We start from the raw sequence: 25,421 nt of genomic DNA, 5'->3' as shown, positions 1-25,421 counted from the left end.
TTATGATTTGTTTTTGTTTGTACCCACTTGATTGCAAGCTTAAAGGGGAGAGAGAAATGCCTTATTCAGTACCATACAGTAGTTCAACACTAAAATATTTCTTGGCACAAAATTTGAACAAATGAAGATTGACAGAACAGTTCATACAAATGCACTAAGCTTAATTCATTCAGGAAATAGGCCAAAGGAATCTGGACCATAACATTCTCGGTTCTGATCTTGATTTATTTTGGACTTACATGACTTTAAGGAATGGAACTGTTTCAGAAACTAAGAGTATGATGCCCATGTTTTTGCTTTTCAGAATATATAAATGTTAACAGTGTCTATTGAATGGGTTTTCATGTAGATGTCAATGCATCCCAGTGAAAAAATAAGAGAACTAGATCAGGAGCTTTCATCCATAGCAAGGGCTTTCAATAAAGTTATTGCTTTTCTGACAATCTGCATATTCATCCTGGTGAATAAAATCCTATTTTTATAACTTGTGTTTTGCATGAGAAATCTGGAAATAGCATACGTTTCTGGTTATGCTGCAAGCTTCTAAGTTACTCCACCTGAGGCATATAGCCTTCCTTCACTTCTACATCTCCATTTCTCCTCTCTGCTCTTCCCTTCTCTCTCATCTCCTCTCCTTTCTTTTTAAAATATGGATTAATATCACACAACGGGCTAAATAATGCAGATTACAATATCCAATATCGTCATTCACAGAAATGAGTCAGCATCTTTCACTAAGCAACTTTCTACCAGGAGGGAGTTTCAAATATTTTGAAATACTTCACTTCTTCAGATGAAAAGGGGCACTGAATCAAAATGGAATTGCTGTTCATGTTGATCTGCTCTCTCTCACCTGCAATACTTAATCAGATTACTGAGGTCCTCTTTACTTCTTTTCTTCTTCTGATAGTTTAAAATTGATATAGTGGCCCATCACTAGTACATTGATTCTAAGGGTTAGGGAGCTGCTACTGTTGATGAATGCACTATGAATGATCTGACATATTTTCAATTCATTTTTTTCCTTTTTTTTTTAAGTAACAAATAACTTTCTAGTATCTATAAAGATAATTTTTTAACTGGCTCTTCTAAAATAAATAAATAAATATATATATATATATGTACGTATGTATGTATGTATGTACATACACACACACACAAGCCAGTAATGTTGGGCTGTCCCAAAAGCTGCATGAAAGGGAAAAACAGACCACGTTTTTTGTTGTTGTTTTGTTTTTCCCAAGGCAGTTTTGAGAGCTCTGAAGCAAAAAACAGTTTTAGCCAATGAAAACTGATTCTGTCAAGTGCAGCAGCCAAATGTGGCCTCACTGCAACAGAGGAGGGAGCTGGAAGCCAGAGGATTGATGTTGCCTGCTTCCAGGGGCTTTTATGAGCTCACTCAATGCCCATGTGATAAGCAGCATTTAGTGTGCAAAGAGCTAAAGAGACAAACCAGTATGCATGTTGATGAGCAAAACCACTCACCATTCACCAACCACAGCCTGCTCTTTCCCATCCTCTTTTATTTGGGAAGAAGAGAGAACATAAAAACATGTGTTCAGGAGTTCTCCTTCTATTTATGTTGGAAGAAATAGAGAAAGGAAACGGTGACTAGGGGATTGAAATAAACCAACAAACCAAGAAGAGCAAAAGGAGAGCAGAGGAGAAAGGGGCAGAACCTAAGGCAGTACATTTCTCAAACACTGACAACATTTTCACCTTATGTTCTTTGTTCAAAAAAAGCAAAATGAGATACTGATTTGGCATTGTAGGCATGGAGAGAGAAGTAGAAGAAACAAGTGAGTTCTGCTGGTACATCTAATTCCTTACACACAGCAGCATGAAGAATGATTTTATCAGTTCTGCTCATTTTCCTTTTTCCTTCCTTCCTTTCTCTCTTCCTCCTTTCTTTCCTTCTTTATTCTGTTTTAATTACTGACTTCTATTATAGTATCCTTTCCATTATTTTATCTGATATTATTAATAGTAGTTGGTATTTCTTTATGGAATTTATGTATCCTTAAGCATTAACTGTAATGATATTTTTTCTTTACCAAGATGTTAATTTACTTACTTAAGTTTTGAAAAGATATTCGGAGTTCAACAAAGCATATGGTAAATTTCAAACATATGGAACAAAGATTGTGGCAGTGAAAAAGAGATTACTGGCTTGTGTGTGTGTGTGTGTGTGTGTGTATGTACGTATATACATATATATACATATATATGTGTGTATATATATATATTTATTTATTTATTTTAGAAGAGCCAGTTAAAAAATTATAGATACTAGAAAGTTATTTGTTACTTAAAAAATAAAGGAAAAATGAATTGAAAATTTAGCATTATGTAAAAGTCACAATTGACATTGATACAATGAGTTTTCAAGACACTTTTAAAAATCGGTAGTGAATTGTAGTAAGAAATTACAAAGTTACATTTTCTGTTGTCACAAACTCAGAGGTAATTTGCCTGGAACCAAGATCAAAGAGCCAATTCTTAATTATCTGAAGTAAAATCCATTCCATGTCTGATATTTCTGAAGCACAAAAAGGAAGACAGGAATTAATACAATTTTAATGCAGCGAACATTGCTAAATATCCATGACTGTTCTGACTACTGACACCTTTGGTAGAATTGAAGCTGTGAAAGAAAAATAAATCTGAAGTCCCCAGAATCACTAAGCTAAAAGTGAAGCTGGCAGCTGCTTAGGTCAAACCTGCCTCCCATTCTATTAAAAGTCACCCCTCTGCTCACTGAGATAAATGCATATCTGATTGCCTCCTTTGGAGAGGCTAATCAGAAACTCAAAAGAATGCAACTGTTTGTCTCTTACCTACCTATGACCTGGAAACCCCCTCCCTGCTTCCAGTTGTCCCACCCTTGCTTCGAGTTGTCCAGTCTTTCCAGACAGAACCAATGTTCATCTTACATATGTTGATCAATGTCTCAAGTCTCCCCAAAATGTATAAAACCAAACTGTGCTCTGACCACCTTGGGCACATGTCATCGAGACCTCCTGAGGCTGTGTTGTAGGTGCCCATCTCAACCATGGCAAACTGAACTTTCTAAATTAACTGAGACCTGTCTCAGTTAAAGTGCATTACCAAGATGTTAATTTACTTACATAAGTTCTGAAAAGATATTCAGAGTTCAACAAAGCATATGGTAAATTTCAAACATATGGAACAAAGGTTGTGGCAGTGACAAAGAGTGCCTGGTATCACGCTTCTGGGGATCTTTATGTTTTTAGAAAATAAATTACTAGGAAACACTGGCTATTCTGAAAAAAAAAAAAAAAAAAAAAAAAAGGTGGTTAAATGGTTTATTAAAGCAATGATCTTGATACCTCAGGTCACACAATATTTTCACTTAAAATATACAAATAATTAAGCAAAATATGTTTTGCTGTAGACAGAAATTGATCCAAGAATGTGAATTAATACTCAGTTATTCAATCTATATGTCATAACACTGCTATAATAGCAAGAAAAATCACAACACTTTTTAAAATTCATAAAAATGGATTAATGTATCAGAAGGAAATGCTAAAAGGGATCATGAAAATCATAAAATTCAGCCCTTGATTTTGGTAGGGAAGAAAATTAAGCCTAGAGAATAAAGTGCATTACCAAGATGTCAGTTTACTTACATAACTTCTGAAAATAATTATTTTCAAAATTCGGGCTTTCACTCGTGTCCGTGTGAAGAGACCACCAAACAGGCTTTGTGTGAGCACTAAAGCTTTTTAATCACTTGGGTTCAGGCGGGCTGAGTCAGAAAAAAGAGTCAGCGAAGGGAGATAGAGGTGGGGCTGTTTTATAAGATTTGGGTGGGTAGTGGAAAATTACAGTCAAAGGGGGTTGTTCTCTGGCGGGCAGGGGCGGGGGTCACAAGGTGCTCAGTGGGGGAGCTTTTGAGCCAGGATGAGCCAGGAGAAGGAATTTCACAAGGTAATGTCATCAGTTAAGGCAGGAACAGGCCATTTTCACTTCTTTTGTGATTCTTAAGTTACTTCAGGCCGTCTGGATGTATACGTGCAGGTCACAGGGGATATGATGGCTTAGCTTGGGCTCAGAGGCCTGACACGGGCTAGAAACCAATTCTTTTTTTTTTTTTTTTTCTATTTTTTCCAACATTGGATACCAAACATGAGGCAGAATAATTCTGGAGAGTCATAGATTTGTTGCAAGTTGCCTGTTAATCTAAATGTACAACAAACCTTATTGAGGTTTGAATAATAAACTTTATTTAAATACATATTTTTAATAAATGTGGATATTGGTATGACTGCCTAATGGGTTCAGCTTGCCTACTGCCTAGACAGAGCCAATTTAGACAGAGAAATTGCAATAAAGAGTAATTCATTCAGAGCATTCTGTGAGGGAGACTGGAGTTTTATTATTACTCAAATCAGTCTCCCTGAAAACTGGGGAATCCAAATTTTTCAAGATAATTTGGTGGGTAGAGGCTCAGGAAGTGGGGAGTGCTGATTGGTCGGGTTGGAGATGAAATCATAGTGGGTTGAAGTAAGTTCTTGCTGTCTTCTGTTCCTGGATGGAATCACAGATTTGGTTGACTCAGATTACTGGTCTGGGCAGTGTCAGCTGGTGCATTGGAACGCAGGGTTTGTACAATATCTCAAGCACTGATCTTAGGTTTTATGACAGTGATATTATTCCCAGGAGCAATTTGGGGAAATTCAGACTCTTGCTCCATGGCCCCTAAATTGTAATTTCTAATCTTGTAGCTAATTTGTTGGTCCTACAAAGGCAGACTGGTCCCCAGGCACAAAAGGTTTTTTTTGTTTGTTTGTTTTGTTTTTTTCTGGGGAAGAGCTATTATTATTTTTGTTTCAAAGTTAAACTGTAAACTAAATTGCTTCCCAAGGTTAATTGAGAATGAACTAGGACAGCTTAGAGGTTAGAAGCAAGATGGGGTTGGTTGGTTCTGCTCTCTCTCCCTTTCCCCATCATAATTTCCTCAGTTATAATTTTTCGAAGGTGGTTTCATTGCTATAATTCCTATTAAATAATTTACCACTATTGATTTAACAGTAGTTTTTTAAATACTTTTTTAAGTCCATGAAAAAAGCAATGAATTTCCCAGTTTGAATGATTATTATCATTTGTATGTTTCCCAATATTTTTCATGTTTAAAGGGATCCTCTTATTAGAATATACTGAGAAATATTATTCCACTGCATTAATGAGTTATCCTGAACATGTCAGGATTTAATGTTAAAATTTATCATTTAATTTTTGGGCAAAAAATGTTGACGGAAACCTGGGTTCTGAGCTGAATTATAATTTAAAACCATCTGGAAAATTTCCTTATTATCAACTCAATTCCTACTTTTCAAGCATTGCCATTCCTGAATTAATATTATTCAGTACTCACATACATTTACTTTAGAAAGGGAGAAATGTGACAAAACAATTATATTCAGTCAAAGCTCAAATAACCTTATACTTCAATTTGTAATTTTTATTTTTTTCCAAATCAACTTTTATGTGAGGATATTCTGGAATATAACTATGCTAGAATTGGCCATTTCTATTACATAATGAAATTCAGAATGACTTGGGAAGTAGTTTTAAACATTCAGTTTTGCACAATATTATTGTATCCTGACTTCAGGATTCTCCTTAAAAGCAGCCAAATAGAATTTAGCTCCTGGACCTGGGGAGTTAGTAAGCCTTCGAAGGCAAGGACACCTGGTGGGGTGGGACTGTATTTGTCTACCTTTCACCAAGGCACCCAAGTCACTTCAAAGTGACTCATCAAAAGCCAAGTTTGGCAAGAGTGGAGGTTTTCAAAGAACTTCAATCACCTAAATTAACCAAACCACAGGGATTCAAAATAAAACAATTAGCAGACTTAAGTAACACAGGATGGTGGAATGGAGTCATTATTTTGGATTTCACAATATAATTGTTTTTCCCCTCCATTGGTTGAGAGTGAAATGCTGCTTCTAACAAGTTACATGTAAAAACAGCCAGTGGAATTTAACACTTTTTAAAGGTCTGCCAGCAATTGCTTGTATAATCTTGGCATCTCTGATTGTGTTGAAATATATTAATTATCTAAATATGCATTTTCATTTAAATGTTAACTCCAAGAGTGTTCCTGATGTGACAATAGAGGGACGATTTAAAATAAAACTCTTGGGTAAGCCTTAGGTGAAATGGGGTTCAGGACATGCTACTCCAAAATATAGCATCTTGGCATTTGAAGAAGGAGCAGAAGCAGGAAGGAACTGAAGCAGGAAGTTCACTCTCACCTTTCCCTCACCCTTTTCCCTTGAAGGAGGCTATAAGAGAATTTGCTGGCCTCTCTCTAAGGTAGGTCATAGAACCTTCATTCCAGATGTGTCCACCCTATACCTAGAGGAAAAGAATACCATACAGGAACACGGAGAAGAATCTGCACTAATAGACCTTGCTAAGTTAACCTAGTTTATTACCATAGCCTTCGTCCTCTAATTATACACTTGCATGACTGTTATCAGAAAAGGATCTCCATCCAGACCGCAAGAGAGGATTATTGGACCTTGTACAGGAAATAATTCAGGTGTAGTCCACAGAGTAAAGTGCAAGGATGTTTATTAAGAAACAAAAGTACCGAAAGAATGGCTACTCCATAGGCAGAGCAGCGGTGTGGGCTGCTCGACTGAGTATACTTACAGTTATTTCTTGATTATATGCTAAGCAAGGGGTTGTTTATGAGTTTTCCAGGAAAGGGGTAGGCAATTCCCAGAACTGAGGGTTCCTCCCCTTTTTAGACCATATAGAAGTGGTCCCCAACCTTTTTGGCACCAGGGACCAATTTCTTTTAGAGGGTGGCAGTGTACGGTGTGGTTTTGAGATGAAACTGTTCCACCTCAGATCATCAGGCATTAATTAGAATCTCATAAGGAGTGTGCAACCTAGATCCCTCGCATGTGCAGTTCACAATAGGGTTTGCACTTCTATGAGAATCTAATGCCACCGCTGATCTGACTAGAGGCAGAGCTCAGGTGGTAATTCTCACTCGCCTGCTACTCATCTGTGGCTGTGCTGCGTGATTCCTAATAGTCCATGGATGGGTACTGGTCCACAGCCCGCAGGTTGGGGACCCCTGCCATATAGGGTAACTTCCTGATGTTGCCATGGCATTTGTAAACGGTCATGGCGCTGGTGGAAATGTCTTTTAGCATGCCAGTGCATTATAATTAGCATATAATGGGCAGTGATGAATACCAAAGGTCCCTTTGATCACCATCTTGGTTCTGATGAGTTTTAGCTGGCTTCTTTACTACATCCTGTTTTATCAGCGAGGTCTTTATGACTGTGTATCTTGTGCCAACTTCCTATTTCATCCTGTGACTAAAAATGCCTAACTTCCTGGGAATTCAAGCCCAGCAGGTCTCAGCCTAATTTTGCCCAGCTGCTATTCAAGGTAGTCACTCTTGTTCGAATGCCTCTGATATGCTTTACCACAAAAATATAGTTTCTCTTATTTCTTTGGATCTTCTTTTAGGAAGGCTTCTATGTCATGAAAACTTGTATTTGATAAATGTGCATTTTCTCTTAATTTGTCTTCTGTTATAGGGGCCTCAGCAATGAACCTTGCAATGGGTGAGAAAGTTTTTCTCCCCTATAGGTATACTTTGCTAAAAGTAACCTTGTGTTTGACATTGAGTGGGAGGAAATGGGGATGAGAAGGTTGTCATTAATAATCTAGAGCGAAATCTAGTGTATATTACATGTCTATATTAAACTTAGACACTGAGTTTTGAATAGATTGTAAAAATAACATACAAGGTATACTTAATGAGATATATAAACAGAGCGAGCCTTGGGGTTAAATCTCAGCTGGGTTATCTACTAACCATGTGATCTGGAACAAAGTTTGTTTTGTTTTGTTTTAAATTTGATGATCTGTTCATTTTTATCTTTAATACAGAGCTATAAATGTCTTACAACATCACTGGAAGTATAAAGTAAAATATATTTAAAAATAGCACAAAGTAGATATTACGTTAGAATAGAGCTGTTTATTTCTCTTTGTTCCTTTTCTAACATGATCTAATGTAAAAGAGTACCTATCAAGTTTTTCCCTATAAAATGATTTAAAAATTAGCAGAAAGATCATACAATGTTCGATCTGGGAGGGGCATTAAAAACATTTATTTGTTCCCTATTTTTCAAGAAAAAAATGTTGAGTCCTAGAGTGGTTAAGTGACGTATTTATTGTGGGCTTAAAACAAATTTCCTATAGGGCCGGGCATTCATTTTAGTGCAAGCCATAGCAGTGACAAAGAGATTTAAATGCTGTCCTTCAAATTTTTCAAATCTTATTAACCATAAATATCAATTCAAATGGGAAGTTCTTGCTCCTTAAAAGATTATTTTAGAAAACCATCAAACTCTGGCAAAAAAAAAAAAAAAAAGATTAGATTGCAAAATAAATTATGTCACCAACTTTTCTCTGTTATAAATTCTGCACAGTATTTTAAAATATGTTCTCTTGATAATTGCATTTATCTCAAAGTGTTTATGTTGACCTGCATAACCTCTTTGGTTTGTTTTAAGTTTGGCTACTTAATATTTCTTTCTGCTGTTGAAATTTTTTTGATAAGATAACATAGCTAATTTTAAATAATTCTTTAAAACTGAGAAACAAGGCCGAGCGCAGTGGCTCACGTCTGTAATCCCAGCACTCTGGGAGGCCGAGCAGGGAGGATCACCTGAGATCAGGAGTTTGAGACCAGCCTGGCCAACATGGTGAAACCCTGTCTCCACTAAAAATACAAAAATTAGCTGGGCGTGGTGGCAGGCAGCTGTAGTCCCAGCTACTCTGGAGGCTGAGGCAGGAGAATAGCTTGAACCCGGGAGGTGGAGGTTGCAGTGAGCCGAGATCACACCACTGCACTCCAGCCTGGGCAATGAGAGCAAAACTCCATCTCAAAAAATAAAAAGAGAAACAAAATTAATCATTTGTTAAATCCTCAGGTGAAGGTGGATTTTTAATGGTGAAGAAATATATTATTTTAGCCCAAATAAAGGAACTAGGATACTGTATATCAAATAATTCATATAATATTCTTTTCTATGAGGAAAGCATAAAATAAACAATAGACTTTAAATATACTTGCCACTGCTGCCTTTCCAGTCTATAGAAAAATTTTACAAATAGCAAAAACCTCTTGCTTTCTATTGGTAATAGATTCTATTGGTAATAGATTCAATAATGCTCACTGAATTATCTAAAATTGATAACATCTAATCAAATGGATTTTACAGCAACAATAATAGGAGCTAGGAAATTGAATTTATAGAGAAACTCACTACGGTATATAGCATAAACAGTTTATGGAGAGAGCTGGGCATAAATAGCTAACCACAATTCAACATGACAATTGCTATTAAGGACCTAAAACATAAAATAGGAAGAATAGAGAAAGAGACATCAAGTAACTGCCTTACAAAAACAGAAAAAGACTATGAAAGAAGAGGCATTTCAGCTTGATTTTGAAAGATGAATATAATATTCAAATGGAATTAAATGTTTAGAGATTTGCATTTTTTATAGGAAATAAATGAGGCCATTTGAGATAACCCTCTTTCAAAATTTTATAATACGATTTTATACATTAGAGAGAAAGACTTAAGTGGTCAGGTGGTTTGAGCTAATTTGGCTGTGTTTTAAGAAACTTTCACCTGAAAGTTGGAAGATTTCAAGAGGGAAAATGACAATAATTTTAAGTTAAGTGTTTTGTTACTTTAGTTTTTTTCTTAAGTTTATCCCCAAATTAGACATAATTTAGGCTGGGATTACAGTTCAATTCAATTAATATTTATTGGCTTTATTTATAACACTGAGCCATAAGATAGCAATCTCATGCTATTAATTTTACAAACTAGAAGGAAGAAAGCAAGCATGCAATGTGACCTGAACACATACGTTTTATCTCTTTGACATGGTTGTACACTTCTTGAGGACCAAATGTCAATCAATATCTGCTTCACAAATGTATTTTCAATTACTCTTGGTATGGTATCTTACACAGAGTGATCAATAATTAAGTTCAACACAAGAGTGCAGTTATGAATCAGAGGAGAACAAATCACAACTGGCTAGCAGAATTAGAGAAAGCTTCAGGTAGGAGGGGATCTTTTAGATGAACCTCAAAGATCAAGAGGTCCAAGAAAATATACAAATGGTCACTAAGTACTTCAGATGATGCTCAACAACATCAGCCATTAAAGAAGTGGAAATCAAAACTACAAACTTCATACCCACGAGGATGGCTATAGTAAAATAGATATATAATAGCAAGTTTTGACAATGATGTGAATAATTGGACTCCTATGCAGTACTGACAGGAATGCAAAATTAAATGCAAATGAATTCTCTTTTGGAAAGCAATCTTGAAGTTCTTCAAAACATAGATTCACCATAACCTAGCAATTCCACCCCCAGGTAACAGAGACAAAAACATACGTCCACAAAAAGACGTACAAAAATGTTCGTAACAGCATGTTCATAGCAGGCAAAAAGTAGAAACAGCTCAAATGTCCATCAGCTGATGAATGAGTAAATACAATGTTGCCTGTACATACAATAAAATTTTACTCAGCAATAAAAAGGAATGAAATACCAATATATGCTAGAACATGGATGAAACTTGAAGGCATTCTAAGTGAAAGAAATTGGTCATAAAACATGGCATACTTTGGGAGGCTGAGGCGGGTAGATCACGAGGTCAAGAGATTGAGACCATCCTGGCCAACATTGTGAAACCCCATCTCTACTAAAAATACAAAAATTAGCTGCCATGGTGGCACGTGCCTGTAGTCCCAGCTACTTGGGAGGCCGAGGCAGGAGAATCCCTTGAACCTCAGAGGTGGAGATTGCAGTGAGCTGAGATCACGCCACTGCACTCCAGCCTGGTGACAGAGCAAGACTCTGTCTCAAAAAAAAAAAAAAAAAAGATGGCATGTTATATACCCTATTTATATTAAATATCCAGAATAGGCAAATCTATAGAGGAAAAAAATAGTAGTTTAGGGCTAGGATGGGGGAGGATAGCTGGGGGAAATTGAGATTAACTGCTAATGGATATGGGTTTCTTTTTTATTTTTAATTGACATAATTATTGTACATATTTATGGGATACAATGTGATGTTTTGATACATGTGTACTTTTTGCAGTAATCAGGGTAATTAGCATATTCAACTTCTCAAATATTTATTATTTCTTTAGGGTAGGAACACGCAAAATCCTCTCTTTTAGCTATTTTGAGATATATAATAACTTATTGCCGACTAGAGTAACCCTACTGTGCAATATAGGACATCAGAACTTATTCTTTCTTTCTAATTATAACTTTGTACCCATTGACCATCCTCTCCACTATTTCCTCCTCCCTCCTACCTACCAGTCTCTGCTAACCAGTGTTCTCTACTTCTATGAGATCAACTTTTTTAGATGCTGCATATGAGTGAGAATGTGGTATTTGTTTTTCTGGTTCTAACTTATTTTACTTACCATAATGTCTTCCAGATTCATTCATGTAAAATAAGATTTTGTTCTGTTTTTTTAAATGAACAAATAGTATTCCATTGAGCATATATACCACAGTTTTCTTAATCTATTCATCTGTTGTTGAACACTAAGGTTGATTCCTTATCTTGGCAATTGTGAATAGTGCTGCCAACATGGAAGTGCAGATATCGCTTTAATTTCCTTTCCTTCATATATATTCCCAGTAGTGGGATTGGTGGGTCACATGGCAGTCATATTTGTAATAATTTGAGGAATCTCTATAGTATTTGCCATAATTGCTGTATTAACTTAACATTTCAATGAATAATGTGTAAGGGTTCCCTTTTCTTCATATCCTCACCAAGACTTGTTATCTTTTGTCTTTTTGATAATAGGCATTCTAACTTGGGGTGAGGTGATAATCTCATTGTGATTTTGATTTGCATTTTCCTGATAATTAGTGATAGCATTTTTTCGTATACCTGTCGGTCTTTTGTATATCTTCTTTGGAAAAATGTCTGCTAAGGTGTTCTGTACAGTTTTTAAATCAGGATACTATTATTACTATTATTATTTGCTTTCGAATTGTTCGAATTTCTTATATATTCTGGATAGTAACCTTTGCCAGATATAAAGGTTGGAAATATTTTCTCTCATTCTTTAGGTTGTCTCTTCATTCTGTTTATTGTTTCCTTTTCTGTGCAGAAGGTTTTTTAAGTTTAGTGTAATCCCATTTATCTATTTTTGCTTTTGTTCATTATGCTTTTGAGCTCTTATCCAAAAAATATTTGCGTAGTCCAACGTCATGAATCATTTCCCCTATATGTTTTTTTCTAGTAGTTTAATAGTTTCAGGTCTTGCATTTAAATCTTCAATCCATTTACAGTTGATTTTTAAATATGGTAAAATATAAGGGTCTGGTTTTATTTTTCTGCATATGGTTATCCAATTTTTCTAGTACCATTTATTAAAATGATTATTCTTTTTCCATAATCCGATTTTCTTGGCACCTTTATTGAAAGTCAGTTAGCTGGAGATTTGTGGATTTATTTCTAGGCTCTATCTGTTCCACTGGTATGTGTATCTGTGTTCTTGTAGTAATACTATACTGTTTTGGTTACTCTAGCTTTGAAGCATATTTTGAAATCAGCCAGTGTGATGCCTCCAGCTTTGTTGTTGTTGTTGTTGTTTTGTTTGTTGTTGGGTTTTTTGTTCTGTTTTTTTGTTTGGTTTGGTTTGTTTATTTTCTGCTCAAGATTTCTTTGGCTATTCAGGGTCTTTTGTCATTCTACATGAATTTGAGGATTTTTTTTTTTATTTCTATGGAGAACATCATTGGTATTTTGTTAGAGATTCCATTGAATGTATACTTTGCATGGACATTTTGTTTGTTTGTTTGTTTTTTGAGATGGAGTCTAGCTGTGTCACCCAGGCTGTAGTGCAGTGGTACGATCTCGGCTCACTGCAACCTCTGCCTCCCGGTTGAAATGATTCTCCTGCCTCAGCCTCCTGAGTGGCTGGGACTACAGGCACGTGCAACCACACCCAGCTAATTTTTACATTTTTAGTAGAGAAGGGGTTTCATCATATTGGCCAGGCTGGTCTCAAACTCCTGACCTCGTGATCTGCCCACCTCAGCCTCCCAAAGTGCTGGGATTACAGGCATAAGCCACTGCGCCCAGCCAGCATGGACATTTTAACAATATTAATTACAATCCCTGAACAGGGGATATCTTTCCATTTATTTTCATACTCTTCAATTTTTTTAAACAATATTTTATCATTCTCAGTGAAGAGAGCTTCACCACCTTGGTTCAATTTATTTCTAGGTAACTTATTTTTTAATAGCTTCTCTTAATGGGAAAGTTTTCTTGATTTCTCTTTCAGATAGTTCATTACTAGCATATAGAAATGCTAATACATATAGCATATATTAGCATATAGAAATGCTAATACATATAGCATATATTAGTATATAGAAATGCTACTGATTTTTATGTTGTGTATCCTGTAACTTTATTAAATTTGTTATTTCAAAAGATCTTTGAATTCAGAATTTTATTTATTTATTTATTTATTTTAAGATAGGGTCTTACTCTGTTGCCCAGGCTGAAGTGCAGGGATGTGATCATGGCTCACTGCAGCCTCAACCTCCTGGGCTCAAGCAATTTTCCCACCTCAGCCTTCTGCGTAGCTGGAATCGCAGGTGCATGCCACCACTCAAGGCTATGTTTATTTATTTATTTTTTGTAGAGATGGGGGTCTTCCTATGTTGCCCAGGCTGGTCTTGAGCTCCTGGCCTAAAGCTAGCCTCCCCCATTGGCCTCCCAAAGTGCTGGGATAATAGGCATGAGCCATCATACCCAGACTCAGAAATTCTTTTTTCTTCTTGATCTAGTCTGTTGTTGAAGGTCTCAATTGTGCTTTTTGTTTCATTTATTGAGTTCTTCAGCTCCAAGATTATTTTTCTTATATTTATCTCTGTGTTGAATTTCTCTATTCAGATAGTAAATTGTTTTGCTGATTTTATTGAATTATTTATAATCCTTATTTTTCACTGAGTTTTCTTAAGATTATTATTTTTAGTTCTTTTTCAGACATTATATATATTTTTTTCCTTTGGGATCTGTTACTGGAGAAATATTGTATTCCTTTAAAGGTGTCATGTTTCCTTGCTTTTTCATGTTCCTTGTGTCCGTATGTTGATATCTGAACATCTGGTGAAACAGCCTACCTTTTTCAATTTTGTGGAGCAGCTTTTGTAGGCAGAGAATTATTCCTGTAGATGGGTCCTAGGGAGTCAGTTGGATGGTGTGCATTAGTTTTGATTCTGGATAACTGTAGTAGTATAGTTTCCATGCAGTTTATTCTCCTATAATCCATGTCAGAGATGTCTACCAATGCCTTCGCTGCCTAGGCTAAAGGAGATTATGGTGGCAATGGTGGCACAGTTTTGTCAGAGGTGGCTTCACTGAATTTGTTCTCAGGCTGGGGACACGGTGTATCATAGGTTGGCCAGTGAGAAGCCAAAATCACTGGAAATAGGGTCCTTAGTCTCTTTTTCAGGCTGAGGGTGCAGGTGCACAACAAACAGTTCTGCTAACTCTAGGGCAGGGTTCCCAGAGAAAGTTTTGCTGGTTTGTTTCTTCAGCCAAGGATGCAGGAACATGCTGGTTTGGTTAGTTTTGGAGTGTGGCAGCCAGGCTGTTTCTCTGGAGAGGGTGCAGGCCCACAGCAGTTCAGCCAGATTGAGGGTAGGGCTTCCAGGGGGAGGTCACTGAAACTTTTTCTCCTGCTGGGGGCTCTAGTGCATGGCAGTTTGCCTGGCCCACACAAGGTTAGTTTTCACACTATGCAGAACCACCTGTTCCTTGAGGGTCAGGACATCACATGGGCCTGGGCATTGGAGTTACACCTATTTGTGGCTTCACTCTGAGCAGGTAAGATCATTGCATTGCAGCCACCTATGTGAGCATAGTAGAATGATGGCAGAGCCTTAGGACAGGACAGATGCAGAGGCTACTGGCCCCCAGAGCAGGACACACCCCAGCAGTGACTCTGGTTTCAGAATGGCAATATGCTGTAACAGCTTGGGTCATGGGGCCGGAGGCAGTGCACAATGTAATCTCCTCCTCTGGAACAAGGTAGCCACCTGAATTCTAAGCAGCTCCCCAAACTGGGCTCAGGGCCTGTGAGGACTGGTGGATTCTTCTACAGCAAAAACTGCAGGTGTCTGTGGTAGTAATGTGGGGTGTTGGGGGCCTCCTACTTACCTTTTCCTCACAAAGGGAACTCCCTCCTGACTCTGAGCTCATCTGATCCTGGCAGAAGAGATGGGGCAGCAGAGGTAGGGTGCCTTGCTCTTCTCTCTATGCTGCTATCCTCGCTTTCTATGATCCACAGGGACTTCACCACTCCCTTGCTGTACTCCCCCACGCTTCTTCACAGGCTCTTATTGTATTACAGTTGTTTATTTGTTCTTTTGGTCCTTTTTTGTGGGGAAGATGAACACCAGGCAATTCTAGTCAGCCATCTCGCTGCTGTCAATCTGGGTTTCTAATTTTTTTATTTTTTTGAGGTAGTAAAAATGTTTTTTAATGAATTGTGGGGAAAGTTACACAACTCTTTGAATACAGTGAAAATCACTGAATTGTACATGTTACATGACTGAATTATTTGGTATGTGAATTATATCTCAATAAGGGTGTTAAAAAATAAAATTTTAAAAATTCTCCTACTGAAACATGATAGGGGCTTTCCAACATGGAGGATGACATGAGAAATGCAGAACAGAGGTGAAAAAGTCCAGGACCTTTAGTGAAAGAGTCAACAGTTTAATAGTTAGAGTATGAAGTATGTAAAATTCTCAGTGTTTCCCAGGATTCCCTAGCCCTGGTGTACACATATGTGCCCAGTTTTTAATCAAACACTGATCCAGATGTTGCTGCAAAAGGATTTTGCAGATGTAATTAAATCCTGAATAATTGACTTTAGGTTAATCAAAAGGAAGATTATCTGAGGTATACCCAACCTAATCAGGTCAATACTTGAAACAAGTCAGAGAGATTCTAAGCAGCAGAAATTGTTCACTTGCTAGCTTTGAAGAAGCAGACAACCAAGCTATGAACTGCTGTGAAGAGCTGAGAGGGAACTCTGTGAGCCAAGAGCAGTCCTAGACAGGCAGTCAGCAAGTAAATGACAACTTCATTCCTACATTTACAAGGGAATGAATTCTGACAATAACCAGTGAGCTTGGAAGACGACTTCCAACCTTCTATGACATCATGGCCTTGGCTGTCCCCTTGATTTCAGCCTGTGAAAAGCTAATCAGAGAAACCAACAGGCTTGTATCCAGACTTCTGACCCTTGGAAACTTTGAGATAATAAATGTATATTGTTTTAAGCCACTAAGTTTGTGGCAATTTGTTATACAGCAATAGGAAACTAATATAAGTGCTTAGTGAAAAAATGGAAGATGAGTCTAGAAAAATATAAAAAAACTTCACTACTGCCTGGAGCCTTCAATGATTGGTTGTAATTAATTCTTTTCCTTTCAGCCCTGTTAGCATAAAAATGATGAAGGTGTTACCCACATTTATGTGCCTGCCTTTCAAATTTTATTTAGAATATATGCACACATTTTCATCAATGCCAACTTTTTCTTTGACTCAAGCTGTGAAGTTATTTTTGCCATGTTTTCTTATAAGATGTGCATGGTTTTTTTTTACATGTAGATAAAAATATGTTGGACGTTTATGATAATGAACTGAAATATTTTGTTCACCTTTCTGCTTTGGTGAATTTGGGAACATCAATTTTCAGGCACCAACCTTTGATTTTAAAAGATAACTGGTTTATTAATGTCTCTTGTGTCACCTTCCACGAGCAGTGTGTAAAATCCAAGTTATATTTAAAATAAAAATAATGGCTGGGCTCAGTGGCTCACGCCTGTAATCCCAGCACTTTGGGAGCCCGAGGCAGGCGGATCACGAGGTCAAGAGATCGAGACCATCCTGGCCAACATGGTGAAACCCCGTCTTTACCAAAAATACAAAAATTAGCTGGGCATGGTGACGCATGCCTGTAATCCTAGCTACTCGGGAGGCTGGGGCAGGAGAATTGCTTGAACCTGGTAGGCGGAGATTGCAGTGAGCCGAGATTGTGCCATTGCACTCCAGCCTGGGCAACAAGAGCGAAATTCCATCTCAAAAGACATTAATAAATAAATAAATAAATAAATAATAATGTTTATTGCTTTTTCTGAGAATTTTACATGTATCACAGGCAGATTGTAGAAATTTTGGAAATTGCCTGGTACAGTGGCTGACATCTGTAATCCCAGCACTTTGGGAGGCTGCAGTGGGAGGATCACTTGAGGCCTGGAGCTTGAGACCAGCCTTGTCAACATAGTGAGATTAAAAAATTAGCTGGGGCCAGGCACAGTGGCTCAAACCTGTAACCCCACCACTTTGGGAGGCCGAGGTGGGTGGATTGCTTGAGTCCAGGAGTTCAAGACCAGCCTGGGCAACATAGCAAGACCCTGTCTCTATGAAAAAATTTTTTAAAAATTAGCTGGGCATGGTGGTGCGCCTATAGTCCCAGCTACTTAGGAGGCTGAGGCAGGATGATTGTTTGAGCCTGGGAGTTAGAGGCTACAGTGAGCCAAGATCATGCCACTGCACTCCAGCCTGGGTGACAAAGTGAGAACCTCTGTCAAAAAAAAAAATAGCTGGGTGTAATGGTATGCCCCTATAGTCCTAGCTACTTTGAAGGCTGAGGCAAGAGGATCACTTGAGCACCAGAGTTCAAGATTACGTAGAGCTATGATTGTGGGACTGCACTCCAGCCTGGATGACAGAGTGAGAACCTGTTTCAAAAAAAAAAAAAAAATTTGAAAACTTAAGAAAATAGTTATTTGCAACTGGAAAGGGCAATTTATGTGAAAATACAACAAATAACATGGTTCATTATTATATATCTTTAAACTCATATTCATGTGTGTGTATTTTTCCCTATTTAAATATTGCTCTATCTATTTTACATATTATTATTATTTCCTGACAGCGTATTATATAGCAATATATATGTAATAATTACAAATGTTCTGCAAAGTGAGAAAATACAAATCTAAAGAAGATAAGGTTTTTAAACTGCGTGTAATAATATTACCCTAATTATATATGCTTTTATATATAAAAATGAAATATACTTCTCCAACTTGGTATATGTTTGTCCTGTTGCTGCTGCAACAAATTACCACAAATTTGGTGGCTTGAAACATTGCAAATTATTTTCTTACAATTCTAGAGGCCCCAAATCTGAAATGAATCTCCCAAGGCTAAAATCAAGGTATTGGCAGAGCTGCATTATTTCTGGAAGCTTTAGGGGAAAATTTGTTGACTTGCCTTTTCTAGCATATATAAGCTGCCCACATTCACTAGCTTGTGACTCCCTTCCATGTTCAAAGTTAGCAGTGTAGCATGTTCACATCTCTCTTTGACTCTGAAAGTGATCCTCCTGCCTCACTCTTTCATTCACAAGAACACTTGTAATTACATTGAGTTCACTTGACTAATCCAGGATCTTTTCATCTCAAGGTCAGCAGATTAGCAACCTTAATTCTATCTGTGACCTTAATTTTCCCATTGCCATGTAATATGTTCACATGTTCTGGGAATTAGAACACGGATGTTTTTGAGGGGTCATTATTCTGTGTATCACACTTGATATTTGCCTTTCACATAGCACCATGTCTTCCCATACTTGTGTACATTGAGATTTATCACTGTTCTTAATGATTTTGTAGATTCCTTTAGATGAATTAACCAATTTTTATTTTATCAGTCTGTGTTATTTTTTTGCTCTTGCTATATTTATTATTTTCTTTTTATTTTTATAAATTGGTAACAATTGGCATTGTCATTCAATAATTTATTTATACATCTTTTTCATCTTTTTATTCATTCCACATATAATAGTCAAAAAGTAATTTTTTGTACAACAGCTTTGTGATTTCTACATATGAAAAGCCTTAAGTATCAGAATGATCAAAAGTAGTTCTGGAATCAGAATGTTGAGGTTCAAATTCTTGTCTCATTACTTACTGTTTGTTTGACCTTAGACAAGTCACATAATCACTACAAGCCTCATTTGTAATAACATCTATCATTAAGGTGGTTGTGAGAATCAAATGTATTGATTTCTGTAAAGTGCTTGGAGGACAAACTGACCTATAGTACAGAATCATTTATGGCTCTCATTATCATGGGCCAAGTGCTGGGCTAGGTGTTGTGTATGCAATCATAAACAAAACACTCATAATCCCTGCCTTTCTGGAGTGTAAAATCAATTGACCCATGCATCTTTAGCAACAAGTACATGCATATCTAAATGATAAATTCCTGAGCACAGAATTGCTATGTAAAACAACTATATAAATTAAGTGCTATTTGGTAAATATAATAAAGAGAGTAATTATATGGTCTTTCCAGCATAACTCATTTGGTTTTCTTTATCACTTTGTTAGATAGAACATACATAATAATGCTACATAGTCATACATGACTGGCATTCCAGTGGTAATTCTAATTTTAATGAGAATAATTTAATGTGGACTGGGTTTGAAATCAGGTTGGCAGATGATTTGGAAGAAAAAATATATTTTCTCTTATCTTGTAGAAATAAAACTCTTATTTGATAGGATTTTGAATTATTTATATAACTCATTATTCTTCTTTCTTTCTTTTTTTTTTTTTTTTTTTTTTTGAGACAGGGTCTCACTCTCTTGCCCAGGCTGGAGTGCAGTGGTACATTCATGACTCACTGCAACCTTCGCCTCCCCAGCTCAAGCAATCCTTTCACCTCAGCCTCCAGTATAGCTGGTACTACAGGTGTGAGCCACCGCACCTGGTTAATTTTTGTATTTTCTGTAGAGATGGGGTTTCACCATGTTGCCCAGGCTGGTCTTAAACTCCTGCACTCAAGCCACCCCGCTGCCTCAGCCTCCCAAAGTGCTGGGATCACACATATGTCAGCCACCATGCCCAGCCTCATTATTCAAAAATGTATGTTGACTTCTACTGAATTTGTGTTTGTTATCTACTGAGAGGTTGTTATGGACTTTTTCCTTCTCCATGATTTATGAATATATCAAACATTTTCAATATATTTCCTAATTTGTAATTATCCCAGGAAAATTCTGGGATAATAATACCCTCTTCCAAGAGTATTATTTCCAATATGGCTACATTCTTACTTTGTCATAGTCTTAGCTCTGTGATCTAGAAAACAATGCATGAGTCTAAAAGTACTGTTGGTATTATGTTATTGGATAGTGCAATCCCTGGGTGGCAGGGCTCAATGAAAGCATAAAATGAGGCAGGGAAGGAGAGATAATAAATATAAGGGCATATGTTCTTGAACAGTTTTAGCTTAGTACTCAGCAAGACTAATTCTTGGTTTTGGAAGGCATCTTTGGAAACTTTAAGCAATATGGCATCTAAGAAAAAGGAAGGGAGAATGTAGTCTCCCACTTGGCCCATGATAATGATAGCCATAAATTATTCTGTACTGTAGGTCAGTTAATCCTCCAAGCACTTTACAGAAATCAGTACATTTAGTTGTCATAACTACCTTAATGATAGATGTTATTACAAATGAGGCTTATAGTAATTATGTAACTTGTCTAAGTTCAAACAGACAGTAAGTGAGAAGTGTAACCCCCACTCCTCCCTGTCACCCATATCTCATCAGCAAAGTCCACTCCAAAAAACTGTAAGTCATGTGTACTTTCATGTTGAGGTAACTGTCGTCTCCAGGTAGTCACTGAGTAATGCAGTCTGTGTGACAGTGTTCTGAATGCACCGATGCAGAATTTACCCTCCTTACTGGGTAGCATCACACAACCTGTGAGACTCCTTCACCTATCATGATGGCATTAGAAACTAAAGAGTCATCTGCATTTAAGATACAAGCATCTGAGAGAGAGAGAGAGAGACTGTGTGTGTGTGTGTGTGTGTGTGTGTGTGTGTGTGTGTGTGTGTGTGTGTTGGTTTTTGGGGGAGAGCAGAGGGGAAAAGTGATTGAATGATTTTACTAAAGATCATCCAGTACAATCATGTGGTGTCAGTCCTTAAATGTATGTTCGACCGTCTTTAAAATTTTGCCTTAGTATATTTTCCAAATTCTTCATATTTATCTATTTATTTTAATTGTTATTGAAAAATATTTTAGACACTGTACATTTATTTTGTATGGTTTGTATTCACCCAATGTGTGTGTTTTAAAAAGTTTATGATATTTTAAAATTCATTCACTGAGATATCTGAAATTCTGAAGTGCTGGTTTTTTAGGCTGTGTGATTTTTCATAATTCTTTGGACATTTAAAAGAAAATGTAGGCAATACTTGCTAAGTTAGTACATGCTAAATTTAATATGTGAAATAAAAGCACTTCTTAAAATCACTGAAAAGTTTATGCTCAAAATTGTATTGTTTTACTCTGTATTCTAATATTTTATTTTTTTATCGTTGTATATTATCACCAAACTAGTTGTGTCCAAAGAATGTAAAGGTGGTTTAATGTAACTTTCCACATTTAACAAATTAGATAATAAAGTCATATAATTATTTCAATTGATGCAGGAAGATTATTTTATAAAATTTGACACTATTTATGATTTTTTAAAAAAGATTCTGAGTCAACTAGGAATAGAAGAAAACTTGGTTAACTGCTTAAGGATATCTATAAAATATATTCATAATAAGGAAAATTTGGAAATGTTTCCTTTTAAGTAAGGAATTAGCAATAAGCCTAGTATATCATTGCTAATGTAGGGTATGGGCACAAAAGTAGCATCATGCAGTATAACCATAAAGTAGGGTTTTCTGAAGGAAAGTCACAAACAGTGGGGTGGGCTAGACAGAATGATAAACTATCCTATGCTTACTTTGAAGAGAGCAGTGCCAGGCAGGGTGTATTTATACGATAAACTTAATTTAAGTACTGTTGATGATCTTTGACTATGAGCTAATTTTCCCTTGATCTTCATGTCTATAAGGCTAGATATGAGGTAGATGACTCAACTTGGGGATATTGTCTGTAGAGAGAGTGTACATTGGCTTCTGCTAGATATCAGATATTTATTTTACTTTTTATTATATTTTGTTATTTTGTTTTTATTTTCCCCTGGGTTTGGACCACTCCCTTAGAAGAACTCAGTTAAAATGAAAGAGTATCAGTTTAATCCTCCTCCACTTTGCTACTAGGTCCATTAGTAAGTACCTCTATTGACAGTCTATGCAGTTTTTATATAATATTTTTGAATATTTTCCTTAATTCCTGGAAACCCACCAATGCATTTTACCATGAGAAGTTTACTCAGGGTACTTGGCCTTTTTGTTTCTTTATCACCATCTTATTAAGGGAAATTTCAAATATGTGTATACAAGAAAACAGAGTAATATAGTAAACACTATGCAACTGTCTTCCAGCTTCTGAAATTATCTTTAACTCAGTACCGATCTTGTTTTACTTATATATGACCCACCTTCCCTACTTTGAATTATTCTGAAGTAATCCCAGATATCTTATTGGCTGCATAGGTATCGGTTGGGGGTTTTCAGCCTATGTTCTAGTACAACATACACAATAGATAATTTTCCCATGTGTAATACAATCTACCTAGGTGACTCACTTATAGACTCTTACCTAATTATTTTTAAATGAATAGATGTATACACACAAATATAGACAATTCTCAGATGATGAACCAAAATCTCCCTTCATTTCTCACAATCAGGAAACATATTAAAATGCAGTTGAATGAGAGCAGTGTTATAGAATAACTTTTAGTCAGAACCAGTAAGTATATTGTTCTTTTATACATAATATTGCATGAAATAAACTGTGATGGATGTATTTAATAGGCTGCATTAAAATAGTAAAGCAGAGTTGGGTGTGTTAGCTCACTCCTGTAATCCCTGCACTTTGGGAAGCTGTGGTGGGAGGATCACTTAAACCTAGCAGTTTGAGACCGGCTTGGGCAACAGAGGGAGACCCCATGTATCCAGAAAAAAAAATTATATATAAATATATATAAGTTATCCAGGCATGGTGGCATGTTTCTTTGTAACCCCACCTTCTTGGGAAGCTGAGGCAGGAAGATCACATGAACCGAGGAGTTGGAGGTTGCAGTGAGCTGTGATTGTATCACTGCACTCCAGTCTGGGTGACAGAGTGAGACCCTGACTCAAAACAAAAACAAAAACAAAAACACAAAACAGTAAAGCAGTAATATCAGAAAGCAGCTTCTTATTCTACTTTTGGTCCTCAAACCTGTTCTTTTGTATTTCTTTTTGCAACCCAATGGAAATATCTCTGGCGAATTTCATAGTTTTCCAATCATTTGAGACTGTAACAGACCTATTTTATTTTTAGGTATTTAACATACCAGCATAATAATTATTGTTTGCCCACTTACTTTAGAATCTTAGAGAGGGTTCTTGTAGTATTTGTCCTTTTCTTTCTCTCTCCCTGCTCAACTTCCTCTCCTCACTTACTCCTCTGACTTTTCCTCCCCACTCAGGACACTAGGCTGTGGCAAGGAGAAAGGATGAGACTTAGCTAGTAATATTAACACTTGTCACTTGGTGAAATGTTCTGCTTCATGAGAAGCATTCCAATGCTGGCTCATTTAGGGAAATATTATTGTTTTGTTTTTCTGAGATTTCTGAGATTACCTCCACACCACACAGTAAAATTATTTGATGTAGATTAAAAAATAAGGTGGAATTGCACTTGATTCTGTAGCTATTCCCTCTCCACCTTGCCCTGCTATTGCCCTTCTACCTAGATTGTCTCCTGCCTCAAGACGTTTTTAGTTGAGAGCATAGGGACGTTTAAATTTTTCCCCTGAAGATTGGATAATTTGAGTCTATAAAACAAATTAATAGCCAGATTAACAGGAAAAAAGGCATACAAATTTTATTAACATCCATACAGGGATGGGAGTCATACAAATATGAAAAACTCTATGCAATGGCCAGATGGTTGATACCCTTCCCTCCCTCCGTCCCTTCCTTCCTTCCCTCCCTCCTTTTCTTTCTTTTCTTTCAGGGTCTCTCACTCTGTGGCCCAGGCTGGAGTGCAGATCATGGCTTACTGCGGCCTCCACCTCTCAGGTTCAAGTGATCCTCCCACCTCTGCCTCCTGAGTACACGGGACTATAGGCAACCACCACCACACCCAGCCAATTTTTAAATTTTTTGTAGAGACGGGGTCTTACTATGTTGCCCAGGCTGTTTCATAACATTTTGAAGTTACAGAAAGAATAAGGGCTTGAGGCATGGCCAAGTAAGTTGTGGTGGCAAGACAGGTTATGGGAGGGAGAACGGAGAAAGGATTGGCTGGCAAAAGTGGTCTTGTTAGGTAGATGAAATCACACAGTAGCAGCTCTCAGAAAGACTAGATGGGTGTCAGACTCTCAGTTAATCTTTCCTAGATCCAGACAAGAAGGAGCTTCAGAGACAGACTATTTACATCTCTTGTTTACTTCACTTTATTTCCTCTATAGGTACAAATCTCCCTCACGAAAGACAGCTTTGCAGGGCTACTTCTGTCTGCAAGACCTCTGAACATCCATCTCAAAATATGTCAAAGCAGTATATTTTGGGGTGAAATTTTTTAGTTTCCTTCAAGAGGCAGCCATCAGCCTCAATCTTTCTAAACTCTAGAGAATTGCTGTCAAGCTTTTCAAAGGATTATATCACACACTACTTGGGTATCAGCACAGGCTGGTCTAGAATTTCTGCAGGTCATTGAATGCAGCTGGTGAATAGGAGGGAGGTTCCCCAATTATGCCCAGGAGATCTCTTAGGGACCCTTCTTATTTGGCATAGGTGAGAGTGTCCCCTCCTCCCTTACTCAATAGGGATGGGAGAGAAAATATCACAGTTCTCTCCATGCTTCCATATTTCTTCCAAAAACATCTACCCTCTCTAATAAATTTTTACCTGTTTTTTAAATAAGCTAGAAGAGAGTGAAAAGCATAGTTCAGCTTTGCCATCTAGTAGTATCAAACAATTTTCTTTAGAATATGGAGTTTCATATCCATCATTGTTATTAACTTTAGGTGCAGAGACAATAGGAATCTCTTATACTTTATGTTGTAATTATTACATATTATTTGCAACATTCCTCACAAATCATATGATGTGACTATGTGACAGAGCTTCTGGACTATCCTTTATTTCTTTACTATATAAAGATTCAGATCATTTCCTTGGCAAGAGGACAATTAATATCAGCAGTTAGATCATCTCATGTAATCTTCAAAATTATATTATGAGGTAGATATAACAGTTATTATATTTATCCCACTTTAATAGC

The 25,421-nt window shown here is 36.9% G+C and overlaps 1 long non-coding RNA gene across 1 annotated transcript in view, besides 2 other annotated features; it reads right to left on the bottom strand.

Moving 5' to 3' along the window:
- The window catches only part of NRXN1-DT (NRXN1 divergent transcript), a 1,375,317-nt gene that overhangs the window by 66,168 nt on the left and 1,283,728 nt on the right, over positions 1–25,421 (bottom strand). The window lies entirely within an intron of this gene.
- Positions 3,689–4,399: an enhancer, noted in NCBI's record as "OCT4-NANOG-H3K27ac hESC enhancer chr2:52564489-52565199 (GRCh37/hg19 assembly coordinates)". NCBI's record gives its function as "activates a minimal SCP1, AML or CMV promoter by ChIP-STARR-seq in naive H9 embryonic stem cells {active_cell/tissue: H9 hESC(naive)}" and the evidence as "EXISTENCE:reporter gene assay evidence [ECO:0000049][PMID:30033119]".
- Positions 5,489–6,292: an enhancer, noted in NCBI's record as "OCT4-NANOG hESC enhancer chr2:52562596-52563399 (GRCh37/hg19 assembly coordinates)". NCBI's record gives its function as "activates a minimal SCP1, AML or CMV promoter by ChIP-STARR-seq in naive H9 embryonic stem cells {active_cell/tissue: H9 hESC(naive)}" and the evidence as "EXISTENCE:reporter gene assay evidence [ECO:0000049][PMID:30033119]".

Source organism: Homo sapiens, chromosome 2 (genome assembly GCF_000001405.40).
Source record: "Homo sapiens chromosome 2, GRCh38.p14 Primary Assembly".
NCBI classification, from domain to species: domain Eukaryota; kingdom Metazoa; phylum Chordata; class Mammalia; order Primates; family Hominidae; genus Homo; species Homo sapiens.
The sequence above is the reverse complement of the archived record's forward strand: the minus strand, read 5'-3'. Positions and strand labels throughout refer to the sequence as shown.